This window comes from Homo sapiens, chromosome 16 (assembly GCF_000001405.40).
Source record: "Homo sapiens chromosome 16, GRCh38.p14 Primary Assembly".
Lineage (NCBI taxonomy): Eukaryota > Metazoa > Chordata > Mammalia > Primates > Hominidae > Homo > Homo sapiens.
In genome coordinates, this window is record NC_000016.10 from 89,638,574 (window position 1) to 89,657,708 (window position 19,135).

The 19,135-nt window shown below is 58.0% G+C and overlaps 2 protein-coding genes and 1 long non-coding RNA gene across 9 annotated transcripts in view, besides 6 other annotated features; 2 read left to right on the top strand and 1 right to left on the bottom strand.

Moving 5' to 3' along the window:
• The window catches only part of DPEP1 (dipeptidase 1), a 28,233-nt gene extending 25,266 nt beyond the window's left edge, over positions 1–2,967 (top strand). For all 3 annotated transcript variants that reach the window (NM_001389470.1, XM_047433691.1, NM_001389471.1), the window contains exon 11: positions 2,021–2,967. In NM_001389470.1, coding sequence (NP_001376399.1) covers positions 2,021–2,032 — 12 coding nt within the window. In that variant the 3' untranslated portion in view covers positions 2,033–2,967. The remainder of the gene's footprint in view (positions 1–2,020) is intronic.
• Positions 2,968–3,204: 237 nt separating this feature from the next.
• Positions 3,205–5,907, top strand: LOC124903758 (uncharacterized). Its single transcript, XR_007065185.1, has 2 exons — positions 3,205–3,359; positions 5,288–5,907. It is a non-coding gene; the product is annotated as an uncharacterized LOC124903758 (long non-coding RNA).
• Positions 5,862–19,135, bottom strand: CHMP1A (charged multivesicular body protein 1A). 5 transcript variants are annotated; one of them, NR_046418.3, is made up of 7 exons: positions 19,009–19,135; positions 15,331–15,350; positions 12,996–13,073; positions 10,778–10,924; positions 8,462–8,758; positions 7,954–8,141; positions 5,862–7,514 (listed from the first exon to the last, which is right to left on the bottom strand). NR_046418.3 is itself a non-coding variant. In NM_002768.5 (7 exons), the coding sequence occupies exons 1-7, from the start codon at positions 19,013–19,015 to the stop codon at positions 7,493–7,495; spliced, it is 591 nt and encodes a 196-aa protein (NP_002759.2). In that variant the 5' UTR covers positions 19,016–19,135; the 3' UTR covers positions 5,862–7,492. The 5 variants fall into 5 exon arrangements, 4 of the variants coding, with proteins under 4 accessions (NP_002759.2, XP_047290151.1, NP_001076783.1 ...); NM_002768.5 differs by having other exon boundaries at positions 8,630–8,758; XM_047434195.1 differs by lacking the exon at positions 19,009–19,135 and adding an exon at positions 15,969–16,031 and having other exon boundaries at positions 8,630–8,758; positions 15,331–15,447.
• Positions 14,210–14,379: an enhancer, noted in NCBI's record as "experimental_46628 CRE fragment used in MPRA reporter constructs". NCBI's record gives its function as "activates a minimal promoter by MPRAs in K562 erythroleukemia cells, with activity observed for both the introgressed and non-introgressed 16:89719276 or rs76311593 variant alleles {active_cell/tissue: K562}" and the evidence as "EXISTENCE:reporter gene assay evidence [ECO:0000049][PMID:34662402]".
• Positions 14,210–14,401: a biological region, named in NCBI's record as "Neanderthal introgressed variant-containing enhancers experimental_46628 and experimental_46635".
• Positions 14,232–14,401: an enhancer, noted in NCBI's record as "experimental_46635 CRE fragment used in MPRA reporter constructs". NCBI's record gives its function as "activates a minimal promoter by MPRAs in K562 erythroleukemia cells, with activity observed for both the introgressed and non-introgressed 16:89719298 or rs77884786 variant alleles {active_cell/tissue: K562}" and the evidence as "EXISTENCE:reporter gene assay evidence [ECO:0000049][PMID:34662402]".
• Position 14,295: a transcriptional cis regulatory region, noted in NCBI's record as "Neanderthal adaptively introgressed variant 16:89719276 (GRCh37/hg19 assembly coordinates) or rs76311593 in the experimental_46628 CRE". NCBI's record gives its function as "modulates activity of the experimental_46628 enhancer by MPRAs in K562 erythroleukemia cells {active_cell/tissue: K562}" and the evidence as "EXISTENCE:reporter gene assay evidence [ECO:0000049][PMID:34662402]".
• Position 14,317: a transcriptional cis regulatory region, noted in NCBI's record as "Neanderthal adaptively introgressed variant 16:89719298 (GRCh37/hg19 assembly coordinates) or rs77884786 in the experimental_46635 CRE". NCBI's record gives its function as "modulates activity of the experimental_46635 enhancer by MPRAs in K562 erythroleukemia cells {active_cell/tissue: K562}" and the evidence as "EXISTENCE:reporter gene assay evidence [ECO:0000049][PMID:34662402]".
• Positions 18,862–18,921: a silencer, noted in NCBI's record as "silent region_7917". NCBI's record gives its function as "represses an Ori minimal core promoter by ATAC-STARR-seq in GM12878 lymphoblastoid cells {active_cell/tissue: GM12878}" and the evidence as "EXISTENCE:reporter gene assay evidence [ECO:0000049][PMID:35858748]".

The following is a 19,135-nucleotide window of genomic DNA, read 5'->3' on the forward strand; positions in this document are numbered from 1 at the left end:
GGCTTTGTAGAGACACTGCTTGAGCGTCTTTAGGGACAGTCTAGGCTCCAGTAGTCACCTCCAGCCATGCACCGGTGCACACACCCCACCCCTGCACACACACACACACCCCACCCCTGCACACACACACACACACCGCACCCCTGCACACACACACACCGCACCCCTGCACACACACACACCCCATCCCTGCACGCACACACCCCACCCCTGCACGCACACCCCCCACCCCTGCACACACACACCCCACCCCTGCACACACACACATACCCCACCCCTGCACACACACACACACCCCACCCCTGCACACACACACACCCCACCCCTGCACACACACACACACCGCACCCCTGCACACACACACATACCCCACCCCTGCACACACACACACCGCACCCCTGCACACACACACCCCACCCCTGCACACACACACACACCGCACCCCTGCACGCACACACCCCCCACCCCTGCACGCACACACCCACCGCACCCCTGCACACACACACCCCATTCCTGCACACACACACCCCCACCCCTGCACATTCACATCCCACCCCTGCACACACCCTCATCCTTGCACACACACACCCCATCCCTGCACGCACACACACCCCACCCCTGCACACACCCCCACCCCTGCACGCACACACCGCACCCCTGCACGCACACACCGCACCCCTGCACACACACCCCCACCCCTGCACGCACACACCCCACCCCTGCACACCCCACCCCTGCACACACAACCCATCCCTGCTCACATACCCCACCCCTGCACACACCTCACCCCTGCACACACCCCACCCCTGCACACACCCCCACCCCTGCACACACCCCCACCCCTACACACCACCCCTGCACACACACAACCCTGTGCACACCCCACCCCTGCACACGCACACCCCTGCACATTCACATCCCACCCCTGCACACACCCTCATCCTTGCACACACACCCCCACCTCTGCACACACACACACCCCACACCCTGCACACACCCCACAACCCTGCACGAGCAACCCCACCCCTGCACGCACACCCCCTGCACCTGCTCATTCTGATTCTGTAAACATGGCTAAGGGCCCAGGAACCTGCACTGGCAGAACCACTCTCTTCATCCAGCATTTTTTTGAGATGGAATCTCGCTCCGTCACCCAGGCTGGAGTGCAGTGGCATGATTTCAGCTCACTGCAACCTCCGTCTCCCAGGTTCAAGTAATTCTCCTGTCTCGGCCTCCTGAGTAGCTGGGATTACAGATGTGCGCCACCACACCCAGCTAATTTTAGTAGAGACGAGGTTTCACCATGTTGGCCAGGCTGGTTTCCAACCCCGACCTCAGGTGATCCGCCCACTCAGCCTCCCAAAGTGCTGGGATTACAGGCGTGAGCTGCTGCGCCCAGCCCAGCCTCTTTTGGTAAATGGGGAGGCAGGGTCTGCATCGGCGTGGCCCCCAGGCTCCCTCCCACTGTGGGCAGCAGAACCAGGCCGACCACAGGGACAGACGTGGTCCAGGCGTGAGCTGCCCAGCACCAGGTCCTCCTAGGTGGAGCTTGGGGCTCAGTGCCTTCCCATATGGGCCTCCAAGGGTTCGTCTTGAGATGCACACAGGGCAGGACAGGACCCCCCACGCTGCTGCTGCCCCACCCTGGAGGGCCCTGGGGGTGAGGGGACTGCCCTCACAGCCCCCACAGGCTCTGTAGTTCTCCCTCAGCTTCCGTTAGGAAGTGGGAAGCCACTGGGCCCAGGTCACTTCCAGATCTGACTTGGCAGGGAGAAGGCTGGGTGGAGGTGGCCACAGCATCGGAGGTGCAGGCAGGGTCCCTGGGAGCTGCTGGGAGGCTTCACTACCCACTAGCCAAGCCTTGGCTGGAGGCCCTGAGTCGAGGAGCAGGGGGCTCCGGGGTCCATGCCCTTCCATGGAGCAGCAGCCCCTGCAGGCGGCTCTGAAGCCTCCAGAAGGGACGCGTCCTGATCTTCCAGGATGCACTTATCAATAATCGTTCTGTCTGTTCCCCTCCCAGCCTGGCTGCTGATCATCCAGGATCCACTTATCAATAATCATCCTGTCTGTTCCCCTCCCAGCCTGGCGTTTTCCGTCTGGGATTGGAGACTCGGGGGGTCCCTGGTGGGCTGCAAGGGTATTAGGCCTAATTTTATTAACAGTATTTGTAGGGTCCTACAGGGTCTGTAGGTTTTTCTCCTCGTGTACGGAGACGAGCGATCATAGAAATAAAGACACAAGACAAAGAGAAGAAAAGACAGCTGGGCCCAGGGGACCACTACCACCTGGACGCGGAGACCGGTAGTGGCCCCGAATGCCTGGCTGCACTGTTATTTATTGGATACGAGGCAAAAGGGGCAGGGTCAGGAGTGTGAGCCATCTCCAGTGATTGATAAGGTCACGCGAGTCACGTGTCCACTGGACAGGGGGCCCTTCCCTGTTTGGCAGCCGAGGCGGAGAGAGAGAGAGGACAGCTTACGCCATTATTTCTTCTATGCATTTCAAAGACTTTAGTACTTTCACTAATTCTGCTACTGCTGTCTAGAAGGCAGAGCCAGGCGTACTGGGTGGAACATGAAGGCGGACTGGGAGCGTGACCGCTGAAACACAGCATCACAGGGAGACGGTTAGGCCTCCGGAGGGCTGCGGGGGGGGGTTGACTGATGTCAGATCTTCCACAAGAGATGGTGGAGCAGAGTCTTTTCTAACGCGCCCCCGGGGAAAGGGAGATTCCCTTTCCGGCTCTGCTAAGTAACGGGTGCCTTCCCCAGGCACTGACGTGACCGCTAGACCAAGGAGCCCTCTAGTGGCCCTGTCCGGGCGTAACGGGGGCTCACGCTCATCTTGTGGTCGCTTCTCACGGTGCCCCTTCAGCTCCTGTCTCTGTATGGCCTGGTTTGTCCTAGGTTATAATTGTAGAGCAAGGATTATTATAATATTGGAATAAAGAGTAATGCCACAAACTGATGATTAGTAACATATATTATCTATAATCTATTTCTAGTATAACTATTCTTATATTTTTTTTTATTATACTGGAGCATCTCACGCCCTCGGTCTCTTGCCTTGGCACCTGGGTGGCTTGCCGCCCACAAGTATTTTCTCATGAGAAGAGCTTTAATCCTAGTCTGAAAATAATCCTAACTGCATTAAATTCACACCAAAGTGTCCAGAAAGACGGCACCTTAACTGGCATCCCAGGAATGCACCTGCTTCCCAGAGTCCTTCCCACGAGCCGGTCATTGTTCACGCATCCTGAGTTCCAGCCTCAGGCTGGAAACAGACCTTTCCAGAGGAGGTTGGGAAGGAGCGCACCCAACCCTAGAGAGCTGGGAATTCCGGCAAGAGGTGACATGGAGGTGGGTGAGGGGGCTGGGGCCTCCCCATGGTGCAGACCCCCATCCTGGGGTGCAGGCAGACCCCAAGCTCCACCCCTCTGGGCCCTCTCTCTCTGGGAAGCCCCCCGAGCTTTGTGGACCGTGAGGATGTGGGAGGCGTGCCAGGGAGCGACGGGGCTGGCTCTGTGGCTGGAGCTGAGGGGAGGGACGCAACCCCTCCCACTCTACATCCACATCCACAGTGACGCTTCACCCCCAAAAAATAATGAAGACCTATCAGGATGGCGGCACCTTAATTACTACTGGAATTAAAAACAGTGGCTCTACCATGTAATAGCCACTGTGAAAGGGTGGGGGCAGTGCTTAGAGCATTTTTTGTTTTTTGTTTTGAGACAGTTTCACTCTTGTTGCCCAGGCTGGAGTGGTGCTATCTCAGCTCACCGCAACCTCCGACTCTTGGGTTCAAACGATTCTCCTGCCTCAGCCTCCTGAGTAGTTGGTATTACAGGCATGCACCACCACGCCTGGCTAATTTTATATTTTTAGTAGAGACGGGGTTTCTCCGTGTTGGTCAGGCTGGTCTCGAACTCCCGACCTCAGGTGATCCACCCGCCTCGGCCTCCCAAAGTGCTGGGATTACAGGCGTGAGCCACTGCACTGGCCCGGAGCTGTTCTTTAGCTAGGGGCCCTCACAGGAGTGTGGGTGGCAATTCTGAAATTCATTTGTGCACAAATGAGCAGAAAGGCAGTGTGCCAAAGCCAAATTTTCAGAGAAGCTACAAACGAGGGGAGGCTGGACCGAATCGTACGGAACGGTGTGCACCTGTGGCTCCAGGGCACGCAGAGGGGTGTACCACTGTGCACCATGGCGGCTGCAGACGCCTCTTGGCCAGCGGCACACAGCACTGAGGCCCACGGTTTGTACCCAGGTCTTGGTTTTCTGGTTGGTTTTTTTGAGACAGGGTCTCACTTTCTCACCCAGGCTGGCGTGCGGTGGTGTCATCCTAACTCACTGTAGCCTCAACCTCCCAGCCTCCCAAGTGACTGGGACCACAGGGGCATGCCATCATGCCTGGCTGATTTTATTTTTTGTAGAGATGGGGGTCTCACTATGTTGCCTAAGCTGGTCTCCAACTCCTGAGCTCAAGGGACCCTCCTGCCTTACCTCCTGGAGTGCTGGGATTACAGGCGTGAGCCACCACGCCCAGCCTCCAGATCCTGGTTTTCTAAATACCATTCCCCACTCGAAGGAATTGGAGCTTCCTGGAGAAAGGGCTGCTTCCAGGGCTGGGGCAGGGAGAGACCAAGATAAGCCAGAGCCTCCTGCAGTGCTGGGAGTCAGGCCGTGCTCAAAGACTGCCAGGGTGGATGGAAAGCTGACCTAAATGCCCTCAAGACGACACCACCTGAGCCACAAAGTCAGCAACAGCAACCATTGTAGCCCACGCAATAAACAAACAGGTCCAGACTGATAGAAATAATGGAGTGGGGAGGGGTCCTCCCTAGAATCCCAATAGAACCAGTGATTTCATTTGTGTCGATGGACACTGACACTCAGGGCAAAGTGGGTCGAGGTTTGCACAGTCTTCAACAATCTTCCCACGAGGCACATGAATTAAAAAGGGAAAATACGGCCAGGCACAGGTGCTCACGCCTGTAATCCCAGCACTTTGGGAGGCTGAGGCAGAGGGATCACCAGAGGGCAGGAGATCAAGACCAGCCTGGCCAACATGGCAAAACCCCATCTCTACTAAAAATAGAAAAAATAGCCAGGTGTGGTGGTGGGCGCCCGTAGTCCCAGCTACTCAGGAGGCTGAGGCAGGAGAATCGCTTGAAACCGGGAGGCAGAGGTTGCAGTGAGCCAAGATGGTGCCACTGCACTCTAGCGTGGGCAACAGAGCAAGACTCTGTCTCAAAAATAATAAAAAGGGAAAATGCTAACTTCACAGTGGAGAAGCCTGGAGATGCCACTGCACCCAGTGGTGAAGGTCACAAAGTCACCAGCACCGAGACACAGGGACACCACGCCCCTGCCACCGAGCAGTCATGAAGACCCCAGTGCATCGTGGGAAAACCGCACCCCCCCAAGCTGAGGAGCATTCTGCAAAATAGCAGCCAGCAGGTTTCAAACCATTCAGGTCATGAAGAAAACCGGGGAACCCTCCCAGATTGGAGGCGGCAGCACAAGGACGTGCAGCAGGGACGTCAGACCAGAGACCGTCAGGAGCACCACAGTGCCCATCAGACCAGAGGCTCAGGGGGACCACGGTGCCCAGCAAGCATCCTGGTTTGGCCGAGGTGCACAGAGACCATGTACTGTGCAACTGTTAGGCAAGTTTTAAATTATTTCAAAGTAAGCAGAGAACTGAACATGGGAGATTGTCGGTTTGGATGGGGCCCGAGAATGAGCATAGCCATCTGCCCAGCCCCTAGCAGTGAACACTCCAGGAACCCCTCCTCAGCTTGGGGGAGATGGCCACATCCAGGGGCTCACCCAAGGCTCCAAAGCAAAGCTTGAGAAAGTTTCCAGGGATCCATTTGTTTATTTACAACAGCATTCTAGGAGAAAGGTGAATGGGCCCCTCTCCTCAGTGCCCAAGGGGACAGGACTGAGGCAGCCCCACCTGGCCCATGGCTCTGCAGAGCTCTGCACCCTCCCCAAGGCTGTTACCCACGATGGACAGAAGGACGTTCTCTCAACACCAGGGTTGATTTTGGGGAGGCTGGAGGGAACCACGTCTAGGACCTACCAACACTAGCCCCTCCCTGGGGGCTCCCAAGTTCTGAAAAGAAAACCAAACGCAGTGAGCCCACGTCAGGGTCTCCACGTTCCTGCACGTAACACCCACGACACCACTGCAGCCTCAGCATGGGCTGCACGGGGTGGGCAGGACTGAGGAGGGGAGGGCAGGACTGAAGAGGGGCGGGGACCCGCACTCCCTGCCAGCCGCCCACCACCTGCCTTTTCTACTTTGGCAAAAACAAAAACAAAACCTGGAAGCCTCAAGACAATGAAGTAAACTTTAGGAAATGGAAAAGACAGCAGGCTGTGCCCAAAGCCTCTCTCAGCCTCCCAGCAAGTCCTTCCCAAGAGCTGCTGGTGACTCTCCAGGGCCACAATGGCAGGTTTTCCTCACAGCAGCCCCAACCCCAGCCCAGCTGAAGACGGCTCTCCTGAGCTCCCTTCATCAGCTGCCTTGGCTTCCAAGCTGGGAAGGCATTGGGGTGTGGTCGGGGAAGGCACCCAGTTGTTTACAGATGGTAGAGGGTGACACAGGCAGCATCGTCATGAAGCAGGGCCCCAAGGAAAGGTCCTCCGGGAGAACCAGGCTGCCCAAGGGGAGGAGCTGCAGACGCACCCGCTGGGACCGCAGCCTGCTGGTGGACAGGCTCCCTGTCGAGGAGACAAACAGCACAGCACATGTGGCCAAAGGCACCTCCAGAGGCAGCAGCTGAGTGAGGATGAAGACTGCAGGGTGGGCACACTTGAATGTGGATCTGAGTGACGGTTCTGTCCCCATGGACTGGGCAGCTTTGGGAACTGAGGGAAGTGAGGGAGCGCAGGAGGCCAGGGGGCTCAGCCAGCTGGTAGGGGCGGCCGAGACACCACCCCTGGAGTGATGGAGGAGGAGGATGTCATTGTAAATACCACCAGGACAGCGTTGGGTGGCACCTGACATCCCCCAGCACACATAGACCTGTGGTGCCTCCTTGGGCTATGTCTGTCCACATGGTGGGACCTCCTGCCCGCTGAGGTGGTGCGGAGAGGCCTCAGGGAGTTGTTTGGCAACAGGGCAGCCCTGACCCCCTCTGGCTGATGGGAAGCAGCATGTCTGCTGCCCCAGAGTCTGAAGGCCCCCACAGTGCTGGGTGAAAGTCCACAGGGCCCCTCTTGGCCTCCCCGCTGTGGGCCCAGAGTCACAGAAATCACCCCCAGAAATTTGCAGAAACTCAACACCAGGACACAGACCCACCGCCCAACCTAAAAGAACAGGAACAACCCTAAGGCCACGCAGGCCTGGCAGGTGAGAGACGCAGAGTGGCTGCCGGCCGCAGCCCCGCGGGGTCAGCACAAAGGCAAGACGCGGTGGGGAGAGGACAGGAGCCTTCCAGCACATCACGGGGCAGAGGCGGTGCACACCGGCGGGGCACGGCTAGTTCCTCAAGGCGGCCAACCTGGAAACCAACAACAGGACTCGGGTCAGGGCAGGGGAAGGGGGCCTCTGACCACCACGTGCTCCCAGCACAGGTGACCCTTTTCCTCCTCAGTGTCCTGAGATAACATGAGTGACAGGCCTTGGAAACAGACATGCCCTGTCCCACTCTTACCTGATCTGTTAGGAAGGGTGCAGTATTCTAAAGTGTACTGCAGACGTGTGTAAACGCCATGCCTGACACACACTCAAGCCCCCACGCCAGCCGGAGCAGGACGGGGCAGCAGCAGGGCGGCTCGCTTGGGGGCGGCTGCAGCTGGGGCCTCTGAGTCGAGATCAGGGCTCCCTGGTCGGAGCCTCAGCCCAAGCTCTCCTCCAGCCTCTAACCCACAACCCTCTCTCCCTTCCCACAGCACCAGAGCGTGGGGTTGGTGACACAGCGTTTCGGGGACCGACCCTACCTCCGTGACAGCTGGTCCTCCTGGCTGCGCACAGAGCTCTCGCCCACGGCAGAGGCGCCCTCGGGCAGCTGGCTGAGCTGGTCCAGCACCTCCAGGCCATTCTCCTCGGCGATCTGCATGATGAGGCTGTCCACCTGCTCCTGCGGCGTGGTCAGGGTGGTGGCCGAGCTCATGGAGTCCTCCATCACCTGGGGGCAGGGGCATGCTCTGGACAACAGGTGGGGCCAGGCCCATGGGGCCCCACTCAGCTTCACAAGGGTACGACTGCACTTTTCGTTCCCTCACACAGCCAGCCACCTTCTTGCCCTGTTCTCTCAGTGACTCTCTCTGTCTCACCTTCCACCAGGAGCCTTTCCTGCCCCCCCACCCAGCCCCACCCTCTGACTGTGCCATGCCTGCTGCCGCGGGTGGACATCTTTCCACACCTCTGCATGCTTGTCTGCCATCCGAGCCTCCCCACAAGGAGCCAGGTGCCTGCAGGAGGCCCCCGCCGCCCTGCCCACCCTACCTGTCAGGGTCCTGGCAGGGACCCAGCACAGAGGATGCTTGGTGACGTCAGGGAGCAACCACAGGTATGCAGAGACAGCACGTCAGCCTGTGAGCCACCCCTCCCGATGAGCTGCCCACACACGCTCCTTGTCCCCAGGCCACAGCCCCAAGGGTAGGGGCCACATACCGATGTATGGACGTCCAGGTTCTGCACCTGCTGCTCGAACCTGTCCATCACTGAGGAGACCTTCTGCAGGTCCATGGTGCTCAGGGCCTTGTCCAGGGCTTTGGTCACCTGGGCCATATTCTTGGTCACCTGAGACAGGAGAGAGCGCAGGAGGGAACAGGATGAAAGGCAAGTGGAGCTCACGCACCAGGGACGGGTCCCCTGGACTCTGACAGGAGAGCTGGGGCACCCCAACCCTGACCCACAAAACCCCAACTCTGGGCTGAGCCATCATCTGGGTCCTATGGAAAGACCACCAACTCGACGGAAAAGGCCATGGAGACCCAGTGCGGGGTCAGTGGAGAAAAGGCCGCCGACGTGGAGACCCAGTGCGGGGTCAGTGGAGAAAAGGCCGCCGACGTGGAGACCCAGTGCGGGGTCGGTGGAGAAAAGGCCGCCGACGTGGGGACCCAGCGCGGGGTCGGTGGAGAAAAGGCCGCCGACGTGGGGACCCAGCGCGGGGTCGGTGGAGAAAAGGCCGCCGACGTGGGGACCCAGCGCGGGGTCGGTGGAGAAAAGGCCGCCGACGTGGAGACCCAGCGCGGGGTCGGTGGAGAAAAGGCCGCCGACGTGGGGACCCAGCGCGGGGTCGGTGGAGAAAAGGCCGCCGACGTGGAGACCCAGCGCGGGGTCCGTGGAGAAAAGGCCGCCGACGTGGACACCCAGCGCGGGGTCGGTGGAGAAAAGGCCGCCGACGTGGGGACCCAGCGCGGGGTCGGTGGAGAAAAGGCCGCCGACGTGGGGACCCAGCGCGGGGTCGGTGGAGAAAAGGCCGCCGACGTGGGGACCCAGCGCGGGGTCGGTGGAGAAAAGGCCGCCGACGTGGGGACCCAGCGCGGGGTCGGTGGAGAAAAGGCCGCCGACGTGGGGACCCAGCGCGGGGTCGGTGGAGAAAAGGCCGCCGACGTGGAGACCCAGCGCGGGGTCGGTGGAGAAAAGGCCGCCGACGTGGAGACCCAGCGCGGGGTCGGTGGAGAAAAGGCCGCCGACGTGGAGACCCAGCGCGGGGTCGGTGGAGAAAAGGCCGCCGACGTGGAGACCCAGCGCGGGGTCGGTGGAGAAAAGGCCGCCGACGTGGAGACCCAGCGCGGGGTCGGTGGAGAAAAGGCCGCCGACGTGGAGACCCAGCGCGGGGTCGGTGGAGAAAAGGCCGCCGACGTGGGGACCCAGCGCGGGGTCGGTGGAGAAAAGGCCGCCGACGTGGGGTCTCCAGGACTGCTGTGCCCTCCTGGCCCACCTGCACTGTGTGAAGGAAATGCCTGCAACAGCCAAGGCTCTGCTGTGACGTCCCTGACCCAGCAGATGAGCCTGGCCATGCAGGCTCTGCCTCTTGTGGGAGTTGCCAAGACCGAGGCCTGGCCAGGTACAGTGACAGTGAGTGGTTCACGCCTATAATTCCAGCACTTTGGGAGGCCGAGGTGGGAAGATTGCTTGAGGCCAGGAGTTTGAGACCAGAGCGGCCAACATAGACACCCTGTCTCTACATAAAAATGAAAAAAATCAGCTGGGCATGGTGGTGGATGCCTGTGGTCTCAGCTACTTGGGAGGCTGAGGCAGGAGGATCGCTTGAGCCCAGGAGGTTGAGACCAGAGTGGCCAACATAGACACCCTGTCTCTACTTAAAAATGAAAAGATCAGCCGGGCATGGTGGTGGATGCCTGTGGTCTCAGCTACTTGCGAGGCTGAGGCAGGAGGATTGCTTGAGCCCAGGAGGTTGAGGCTGCAGTGAGCTGTGACTGCACCACTGCACTCCAGCCTGGGTGACAGAGCAAGACAGTCTCTAAAAAATATATATTTAAAAAAAAAAAAGCCCAAGTCTTATCAAGAGGTCCTTCCTGGGGCATCAGTGCAAGCTCAGGGTGCAGCCTCACCTGTGTCCCTGCCAGCATTTCCCACCCCACGCTGATCCAGCTTAACTCAACCTCCCCACCCCACGCTGATCCAGCCCTCAACCTCCCCACCCCACGCTGATCCAGCTTCCCTCAACCTCCCCACCCCGCGCTGATCCACCTTCCGTCAACTCTGAGCTGCCCCAGATCCAGACCGCAGAGCCCATTCCTGCTTCAGCCAGCGAACGCCACCCATCCAGCACCAGGGCCCAGCACTCACCCCCTTCATAGTCACAGCTGTCTGCACCTTGGAGGCCACTGCGTCTACGCGGGACGCCATCCGAAGCCAGTTCACACCTTCGTTCTTCTTGCGGATGGCGTTCTCGGCATACACACGGGCACACTCTACATTTTTCTGCAGAAGGGCCTGAAACCCGCGGGGGAAAGCAGCTGGAAGAGCTTGGTGGTGTGTGTGCCCCCTGCTAGGAGCCCAGTTTTTGTTTTGTTTTGTTTTGTTTTGTTTGAGACGGAGTCTTGCTCTGTTGCCCAGGCTGGAGTGCAGTGGCACGATCTCGACTCAACGCAAGCTCCGCCCCCCAGGTTCATGCCATTCTCCTGCCTCAGCCTCCCGAGTAGTTGGGACTACAGGCGCCCGCCACCATGCCTGGCTAATTTTTTTGTATTTTTAGTAGAGATGGGGTTTCACCGTGTTAGCCAGGATGGCCTCGATCTCCTGACCTCGTGATCTGCCCGCCTCGGCCTCCCAAAGAGCTGGGATCACAGGCGTGAGCCACCGCGCCCGGCCCTAGGAGCCCAGTGTTGAGGCGGTGGGCGGGCCTCTCCCCAGAAATGTTTGAGCTAAAAATGCAAACACCCAGGCCCCAGCCCAGCCCCCCAAGCAGGCTTCTGCTTCCCCCCGCACCCCTCCAGCACTCCACTGGGCACGGGACACAGCGGGTGACACTCAGAGCCTGTGGCAGGCAGTTCTCCGAGCTCCATTCTCCCTGGGAGCCTGGCTGTGGGTGAAGAGTTACCAAAGTCCAATACGCTGGGACCTACTTCACCGATTACGCAGTTTTAAGAGCTGCACAAGATCCTACCTTCTTTTCTTTTTTTTCTTTTTTTGGAGATGGAATCTCGCTCTGTGGCCCAGGATGGAGTGCAGCAGTGTGATCTCGGCTCACTGCAACCTCCACCTCCTGGGCTCAAGCAATTCTCCCGCCTCAGCCTTCCGAGTAGCTGGGATTATAGGTGTGAATCACTGCGCCCGGCCTAGATCCCTCCTCTCCTTCTGCCCTGTCCATCATGGGGAGGGGACCCCTCCTGGAGAGGCACCCCTGTAAGCCTCCAGCCCCATCCCACCCCATGGGGCAGGGGCATCATGACTCTGCCCAGACCCTGATGCCCTAGACACCAGCTCTGTAGGGAGGAGAGAGCTAAAAATGATAGGATCCGCTGGGCCCAGTGGCTCATGCCTGTAATCCCAGCACTCTGGGAGGCTGAGGCAGGTGGATCACCTGAGGTCAGGAGTTTGACACCAGCCTGGCCAACACGGCGAAACCCCATCTCTACTAAAAATACAAAAATTAGCCAGGTGTGGTGGCGCATGCTTGTAATCCCAGCTACCCAGGAGGTTGAGGCAGGAGAATCACTCGAACCCAGGAGGCAGAGGTTGCAGTGAGCCGAGACCGCACCTCTGCACTCCAGCCTGGGCAACAGCGAGACTCCATCTCAAAAAAAAAAAAGATAGGATCGTGGCAGACAGCTAGCTAGCAGCCCTCCTCCTGCAGATGGCAAAATCAAGTTCAGAATGTTGGAAATGCAAAGAAGGAAAACAATGAAGGCAATGCACTCATCTCTGTGCTCTGGACGCCCTCAGTGGGCTGGGAAGGTCTGGCAGGGGCTGTAGGGCAGGGACAGAAACCATTCTGGGCTGCACCACACACAGCACCTCCCTTCCTGAGTGCCTGTTTGTCTTATGTGGGAAGCAAATACTTTGAGGCTCAGAAATCATAGTGAGGATTAGGCTGGGCACAGTGGCTCATGCCTGCAATACCAGCACTTTTGGAGGCCAAGGCAGGTGGGTCACTTGAGGATAAGAGTTCGAGACCGGCCTGGCCAACATGGCGAAACCCCATCTCTACAAAAAAATTAAAAAATTAGCTGGGTGCAAGCCTGTAATCGCAGCTACGTGTGAGGCGAAGGCCCTAGAATCACTTGAACCCGGGAGGCGGAGGTTGCAGTGAGACGAGATCGCACCTGTGCACTCCAGCCTGGGCGACAGAGCAAGACTCCGTCTCAAAAAACAAACAAACAAACAAACAAACAAACAAAATATATATATATATGTACCTCAAGGTGACGATTAAATCATGATGTAGAAAGTGCCCTGCCCCTCCCCAAAAGGCATCAAAACAAAACAGGACACAAAAATAAGGGCAGAAAAGGACAGAAGACAAACCAGGAGAGTCATGACCCCACAGCCCCCAGGGTCTCACCTTCTTCACTTTGGCCTGCTCCGCCTTGGAGTCCTTCTCCGCCTTCTTGGCCAGCTTCTCCAGCTGCTTCGCCGTGAACTGAGCGGAAGCCGGAATGTCCTGGGTCAGACATGCGGAGCCCATCCCCCAGGCCCGGCTCTCCACACCCCCACACCTGTGCCCACACCTGTGCCCACACAGGTTCCTAAGCCCCCATCAGCCAGCCTGGGCCCAGCACACCGCAGGGAAGGCGTGAAGCCTGTGGGCGTGCATCCTGGGCGGCGAGAGATGGCACCAGCTGGAGGAGGAAGCTGCCTGCTCTGCCTCAGGCTCTGTCTGGGTTTTCTCCAGTGTCTGTCTTCTCTGTGAACAGCCTCACCCAAGGCCTCCTCCAGAGCGGAAGGGTCAAAAACCTCTCACTCTGATCTCGGCTCCTGCTTATGGATGGCTTTTCAACGTCAAAGAAAGACTGAAGGAAACTCATTTCAGGCTACCCCCAAGTCATAACACAGAACTCCAGGTAAAAACACACCTGAAAGTGTTATCTCGAGAGAATGCTGTGGATGCAGGAGGTTGCTGGGCAGCACAAGCAGCTTCCGGGGATCTAACTGCTCTGCCAGCACCACACGGAAACAGGGCCTCTGGCAACACCACAAGGACACAGGACCTCTGGCAACCCACCCGGAACCACAGACGCCCTGGTACCAGGTAGCCCTGGCCACCAGCACCTCAAGGAAACAGGGCCTCTGGCAACCCATCTGGAATCACAGACACCCTGGTATCAGGTAGCCCTGGCCACCAGCACCTCAAGGAAACAGGGCCTCTGGCAACCCATCTGGAACCACAGACGCCCTGGTACCAGGTAGCCCTGGCCACCAGCACCTCGAGGAAACAGGGCCTCTGGCAACCCATCTGGAACCACAGACGCCCTGGTACCAGGTGGCCCTGGCCACCAGCACCTCGAGGAAACAGGGCCTCTGGCAACCCATCTGGAACCACAGACGCCCTGGTACCAGGTGGCCCTGGCCACCAGCACCTCGAGGAAACAGGGCCTCTGGCAACCCATCTGGAACCACAGACGCCCTGGTACCAGGTAGCCCTGGCCACCACAGCACCACAGGGTGCAGGACACAAGCAGGCCTCAGCCGGTCCCCTCTGTGCCCAACAGCAACTGACAGGCCCACCGTGATGGGAAAACATCCCAAAGCTGCATACGGTAGCTCCGGCACATCACTCCTGCCCAGTAGCTCAGAGCCAGCGACAAGGCAAGATAAAGCTGGCCACAGATGAGCAGCCAGGAGCACATCCCAGGGAAATGCACGGAAACCTGCCCTGGATTACCGGAAGCTGCAACCTCCACCCCACGTGGGAGGAATACTCAGAAAGCTCTCCTTCAAATGATCTCAAAGAATGAGTCCACACAGCGGAACACCAAGGCCTAATGCCCAAGTTGTCTTTTTTTTTTTTCTTTTCTTTTTTTTTTTTTTTTTTTGAGACGGAGTCTCTGTCACCCAGGCTGGAGTGCAGTGGCACAATCTTGGCTTACTGCAAGCTCTGCCTCCCAGGTTCACGCCATTCTCCGGCCTCAGCCTCCTGAGTAGCTGGGACTACAGGTGCCTGCCACCGCGCCCGGCTAATTTTTTTGTGTGTTTTTAGTAGAGATGGGGTTTCACTGTGGTCTCCATCTCCTGACCTTGTGATCCACCCCACCTCGGTCTCCCAAAGTGCTGGGATTACAGGCGTGAGCCACCGCGCCTGGCCCCAAGTTGTCTTTCTTAAGATAACACTCCGGGCCAGGCACAGTGGCTCACGCCTGTAATCCCAGCACTTTAGGAGGCCGAGGTAGGCGGATCACGAGGTGAAGAGATCGAGACCATCCTGGCCAACGTGGTGAAACCCCGTCTCTATTAAAAATGTAAAAAAAAATTAGCTGGGCATGGTGGTGGGCGCCTGTAGTCCCAGCTACTCAGGAGGCTAAGGCAGGAGAATCGCTTGAACCCGGGAGGCAGAGGTTGCAGTGAGCCGAGATCACGCCAATGCACTCCAGCCTGGGCGACGGAGTGAGACGCCGTCTCAAAAAAAAAAAAAAAAAAAAAAAAGATAACACTATTTCTTTCATGGCTTTCATGGATGACCCTAAGGATCTGCCTCCACTTAGCCTCAGATAAGAAAAGAGCTAATATGTCACCAAGGTGGCTCAATAATCCCCTCCTTGGTCAGCAGTCTGAGCCCTGTGTGGCGGTCACTCAACTGTTATATAATCTGCCCGACTGTTTCTGTGGCTCTGAGTGAGCGTGGCTTATACTATCTGTCCTCACCAGAACAGGGCTGGGGTGAACGGCCATTCGGTACATACCTTCAACTGGAACAGGGTATCTGCAAAGAAAGAGGGAATTAATGGTTTGAGGATTGGGAATGGGACGTTACACTTCTGGCAGGCAGGACTCACTAGGTTCCTTCTAGACACCAGGAGCTAGAACACACACACAGACCACACCTGCCTGGGGCCTTCGGGGAGCCCCCCCCAACAGGGGAGGCACGAGACAGATTCGTGTGCCAGCCCTGGCTCCTTGCTAGCCACAGGGCCCAGCAAATGCAGACCCTCCCTCCCTGTTTCCTTGTTGGGAACATGAGGGTGGTACCAGCCAATCTCAAAGGGTTAGTGTGAGGACAGAAGAGGTCATGGACGCAGCATCTTTTGGCCATGGTTAGAATCCAAAAGATGGTGGTTTATAATTAATGCAACTTTGCAAATGTCCCTTGGGATTCTTTCCCAATTTAAAAGTTCACCTGTAATCCCAGCACTCTGGGGGTGCCGAGGCCAGTGGATCACTTAAAGCCAGGGTTTGAGGCCAGCCTGGGCCAATTTAAAAGTTCAGTACTTGACAGTTTACTTTTTACAGACTCTTTCTCCTCAAAGGTAAATGGATAAAAATAGCAAGGTGGTAACTCTTAGACATCAAAGAGCTGATTTCCAGCGGTACAGTCGCTCACGCCTGTAATCACAGCACTCTGGGAGGCTGAGGCGGGCAGATCACTTGAGGTCAGGAGTTCCAGACCAGCCTAGGGAATATAGTCAGACCTCATCTCTATTAGAAAAATATATATTTTTTTGCCGGGTGCGGTGGCTCACGCCTGTAATCCCAGCACTTTGGGAGGCCGAGGCCGGCGGAACATGAGGTCAGGAGATCGAGACCATCCTGGCTAACACGGTAAAAGCCCGTCTCTACCAAAAAATACAAAAAATTAGCCAGGCGTGGTGGCGGGCGCCTGTAGTCCCAGCTACTCAGGAGGCTGAGGCAGGAGAATGGCGTGAACCCGGGAGGCAGAGCTTGCAGTGAGCCGAGATTGCGCCACTGCACTCCAGCCTGGGCAACAGTGCAAGACTCCGTCTCAAAAAAAAAAAGAAAAAATATTTTTTTTAAAAAGTAGGATTGATCTCAATTCATTCAACTGCTAAATTTGGAGAGCGACCCTGACCCCAGATTCCTGAAAGGGCTTTACCACACTAGCCACAACGAGGAAATGGAGCCTGTAAAAGAATGAGGTTACTGAGTGTTCACAAATGCACACCAAGGCTCCAAGATGAGATCTCCCGGGGTTCCAGAAAGCTCTGGGCATCGTTCAATCTATCGCCTGTCAGTGCAGGCGTGGTCAAGGCCAAGTTCAACCTGTCATCTATCAGTTCAGGTGTGGTCACGGCCAAGGTTATCTGTGACTGGAAAACAGCCAGCCTGACCCAGATGGCACAGTGCAGGCCAGGCGGGCCGTCCCACCCAACTCACTGTGGGATGCTGGCCAAACCGCCCTCCTCATCTCAGCTTTCCCTCACCTCAGCTTTCCCTCACCTCAGCTTTCCCTCACCTCAGCTTTCCCTCACCTCAGCTCTCCTCACCTCAGCTTTCCTCACCTCAGCTTTCCCTCACCTCAGCTTTCCTCACCTCAGCTTTCTCTTCCAGCCGTGTGTGGCAGCACAAAAACCCAGCTAAGGCAAAATCTGACTCTGAGGAAATCTGACATGGGCTTGAGAGAAGTCCCCTCAAAAGAGTTGAGTGAGCTGTGGAGTGAAAAGCCACAATTTTTCTTTTTTTTTTTTGAGACGGAGTCTCACTCTATCACCCAGGCTAGAGTGCAACGGCACCATCTTGGCTCACTGCAACCTCTGCCTCCCAGGTTTAAGCGATTCTCCTGTCTCAGCCTCCCAAGTAGTTAGAATTACACGTGCACGCCACCAGGCCCAGCTAATTTTTGTATTTTTAGAAGAGACGGGGTTTCACCATGTTGGCCAGGCTGGTCTCAAACTCCTGACCTCAGGTGATCAACCAACCTCGGCCTCCCAAAGTGTTGGGGTTACAGGCGTGAGCCACCACATCCGGCCTCCCAAAGTGCTGGAATTACAGCCGTGAGCCACCGCGCCCGGCCTCCCAGAGTGCTGGGGTTACAGGCCTGAGCCACCACACCCGGCCTGGCCAGCATATTTTTTGTGGCGGGAGGTAGATGTTATCTTTCATCTTCTCTCAGGGCAGAAAATCTCTACACATTTCCTTCATGATGATGACACGGTGGTACTATAGCTTTTCACACTTCTAACTAAAAGAATTTTTTTTGAGACGGAGTCTCGCTCTGTCGCCCAGGCTGGAGTGAAGTGGCGCGATCTCGGCTCACTGCAAGCTCCGCCTCCCGGGTTCACGCCATTCTCCTGCCTCAGCCTCCCGAGTAGCTGGGACTACAGGCACCCGCCACCACGCCTGGCTAATATTTTTGTATTTCTAGTAGAGATGGGGTTTCACTGTGTTAGCCAGGATGGTCTCGATCTCCTGACCTTGCGATCCGCCGGCCTCGGCCTCCCAAAGTGCTGGGATTACAGGCGTGAGCCACCGCGCCCAGCCCTTCAAAAAGTATTTTTAAAAGCCTGCCCATCACACCAGCCCAACGATGTTTCAGCAAACATAGGACTTCATTTTGCCAGATTCTTCCTGTTCTTTGGTATCCCTGAGCACACAGCCGGCTAGCCCCAGATGTAGAAGGTAAGAATTAGGGCGACCCATTGAGCACAGAAACGCTTGTGCTGGCTCCTGCTCAAACCTCTGCTTCCCCACATGGAGAATGGACGCAAAGAGCTGCTGTGACCAGGGCCTGGCACTCAGGGAGCGCTTTCTGTCTGAGTCCTTCTGATTTGCAGTGATGCTGTTTGGGGCAGGGGGTGCAACTGTCACTTTTTCTGGTGCCCTCTGACCCGACATTCCAAGTCCCGAAAGGCCGAACAGGCATCGCACAGTCCCCCCTACCGAGCTGGCGGGAAAGGGCGCCTGACGCTGAGGAGTGCCAGGGGCGGGGGAAAGGGTCCTGGGTCGGTGGTCGGGGGTCCAGGCCCTGGGCAAGGGGTCCTGGGTCGGGAGTCTAGGTCCCGGGTCCATGGTTGGGGGTCAGAGGTCGAGGCCCCGGGGAAGGCATACCGGGTTGAGATTTGGGGATGGAGGCCCCGGGGAAGGGGTCCCGAATCGGGGGTCGGGGATCGAGGCCTGGGGGGAGGGGTCCCGGGTCGAGGGTCGAGGCCCGGGGTAAAGGATCTCGGGTTGGGGGTCGGGGGCCTGGGAAGGGTCCCGGTCGGTGGTCGGGGGTCGAGGCCCGGGAGAAGGGGTCCCGGGTCGGTGGTAGAGGCCCTGGGGAAGGGGTTCCGGGTCGGGGATCGAGGGTCGAGGCCCGGGAAAAGGGGTCCCGGGTTGGTGGTCTAGGCCCTGGGGAAGGGGTTCCGGGTCGGGTATCGGGGGACGAGGCTCGGGAAAAGGGGTCCCAGGTCGGTGGTCGAGGCCCTGGGGATGGGGTCCGGGTCGGGGATCGGGGGACGACGACCGGGAAAAGGGGTCCCAGGTCGGTGGTCGAGGCCCTGGGGATGGGGTCCCGGGGGATCGACGGTCGAGGCCCGAGCTCTCCTGAGTCCTGCCCGCGGCCCCAGGTGGGCGGAGCCCACGCCAGTGGGAGAAGCGGCCCCGCCCCGCGCGCGAGTCCCCGGAGGACGGCCGCGACCTCTTACCGTCCATGGCCACAATGACAGGAGCAGCACTCGGAGAGGGAGAAGGGACGCCAACTCCGGGCGGTGTCAGGTCCCGGCGGCGATCGAACCGACCAAGCTGCACCCGGCGGGGACTTCCGGGGTCGCC

Excerpts from the sequence above, each read along its gene's own strand:
- CHMP1A (XM_011523098.2), bottom strand. Across the intron at positions 10,925-12,995 it reads AGCAGGCCAAAGTGAAGAAG|GCCCTTCTGCAGAAAAATGT; the intron begins GTGAGACCCTGG and ends CGCGGGTTTCAG. Across the intron at positions 9,906-10,777 it reads CAGCTGTGACTATGAAGGGG|GTGGGCCAGGAGGGCACAGC; the intron begins GTGAGTGCTGGG and ends CACACAGTGCAG.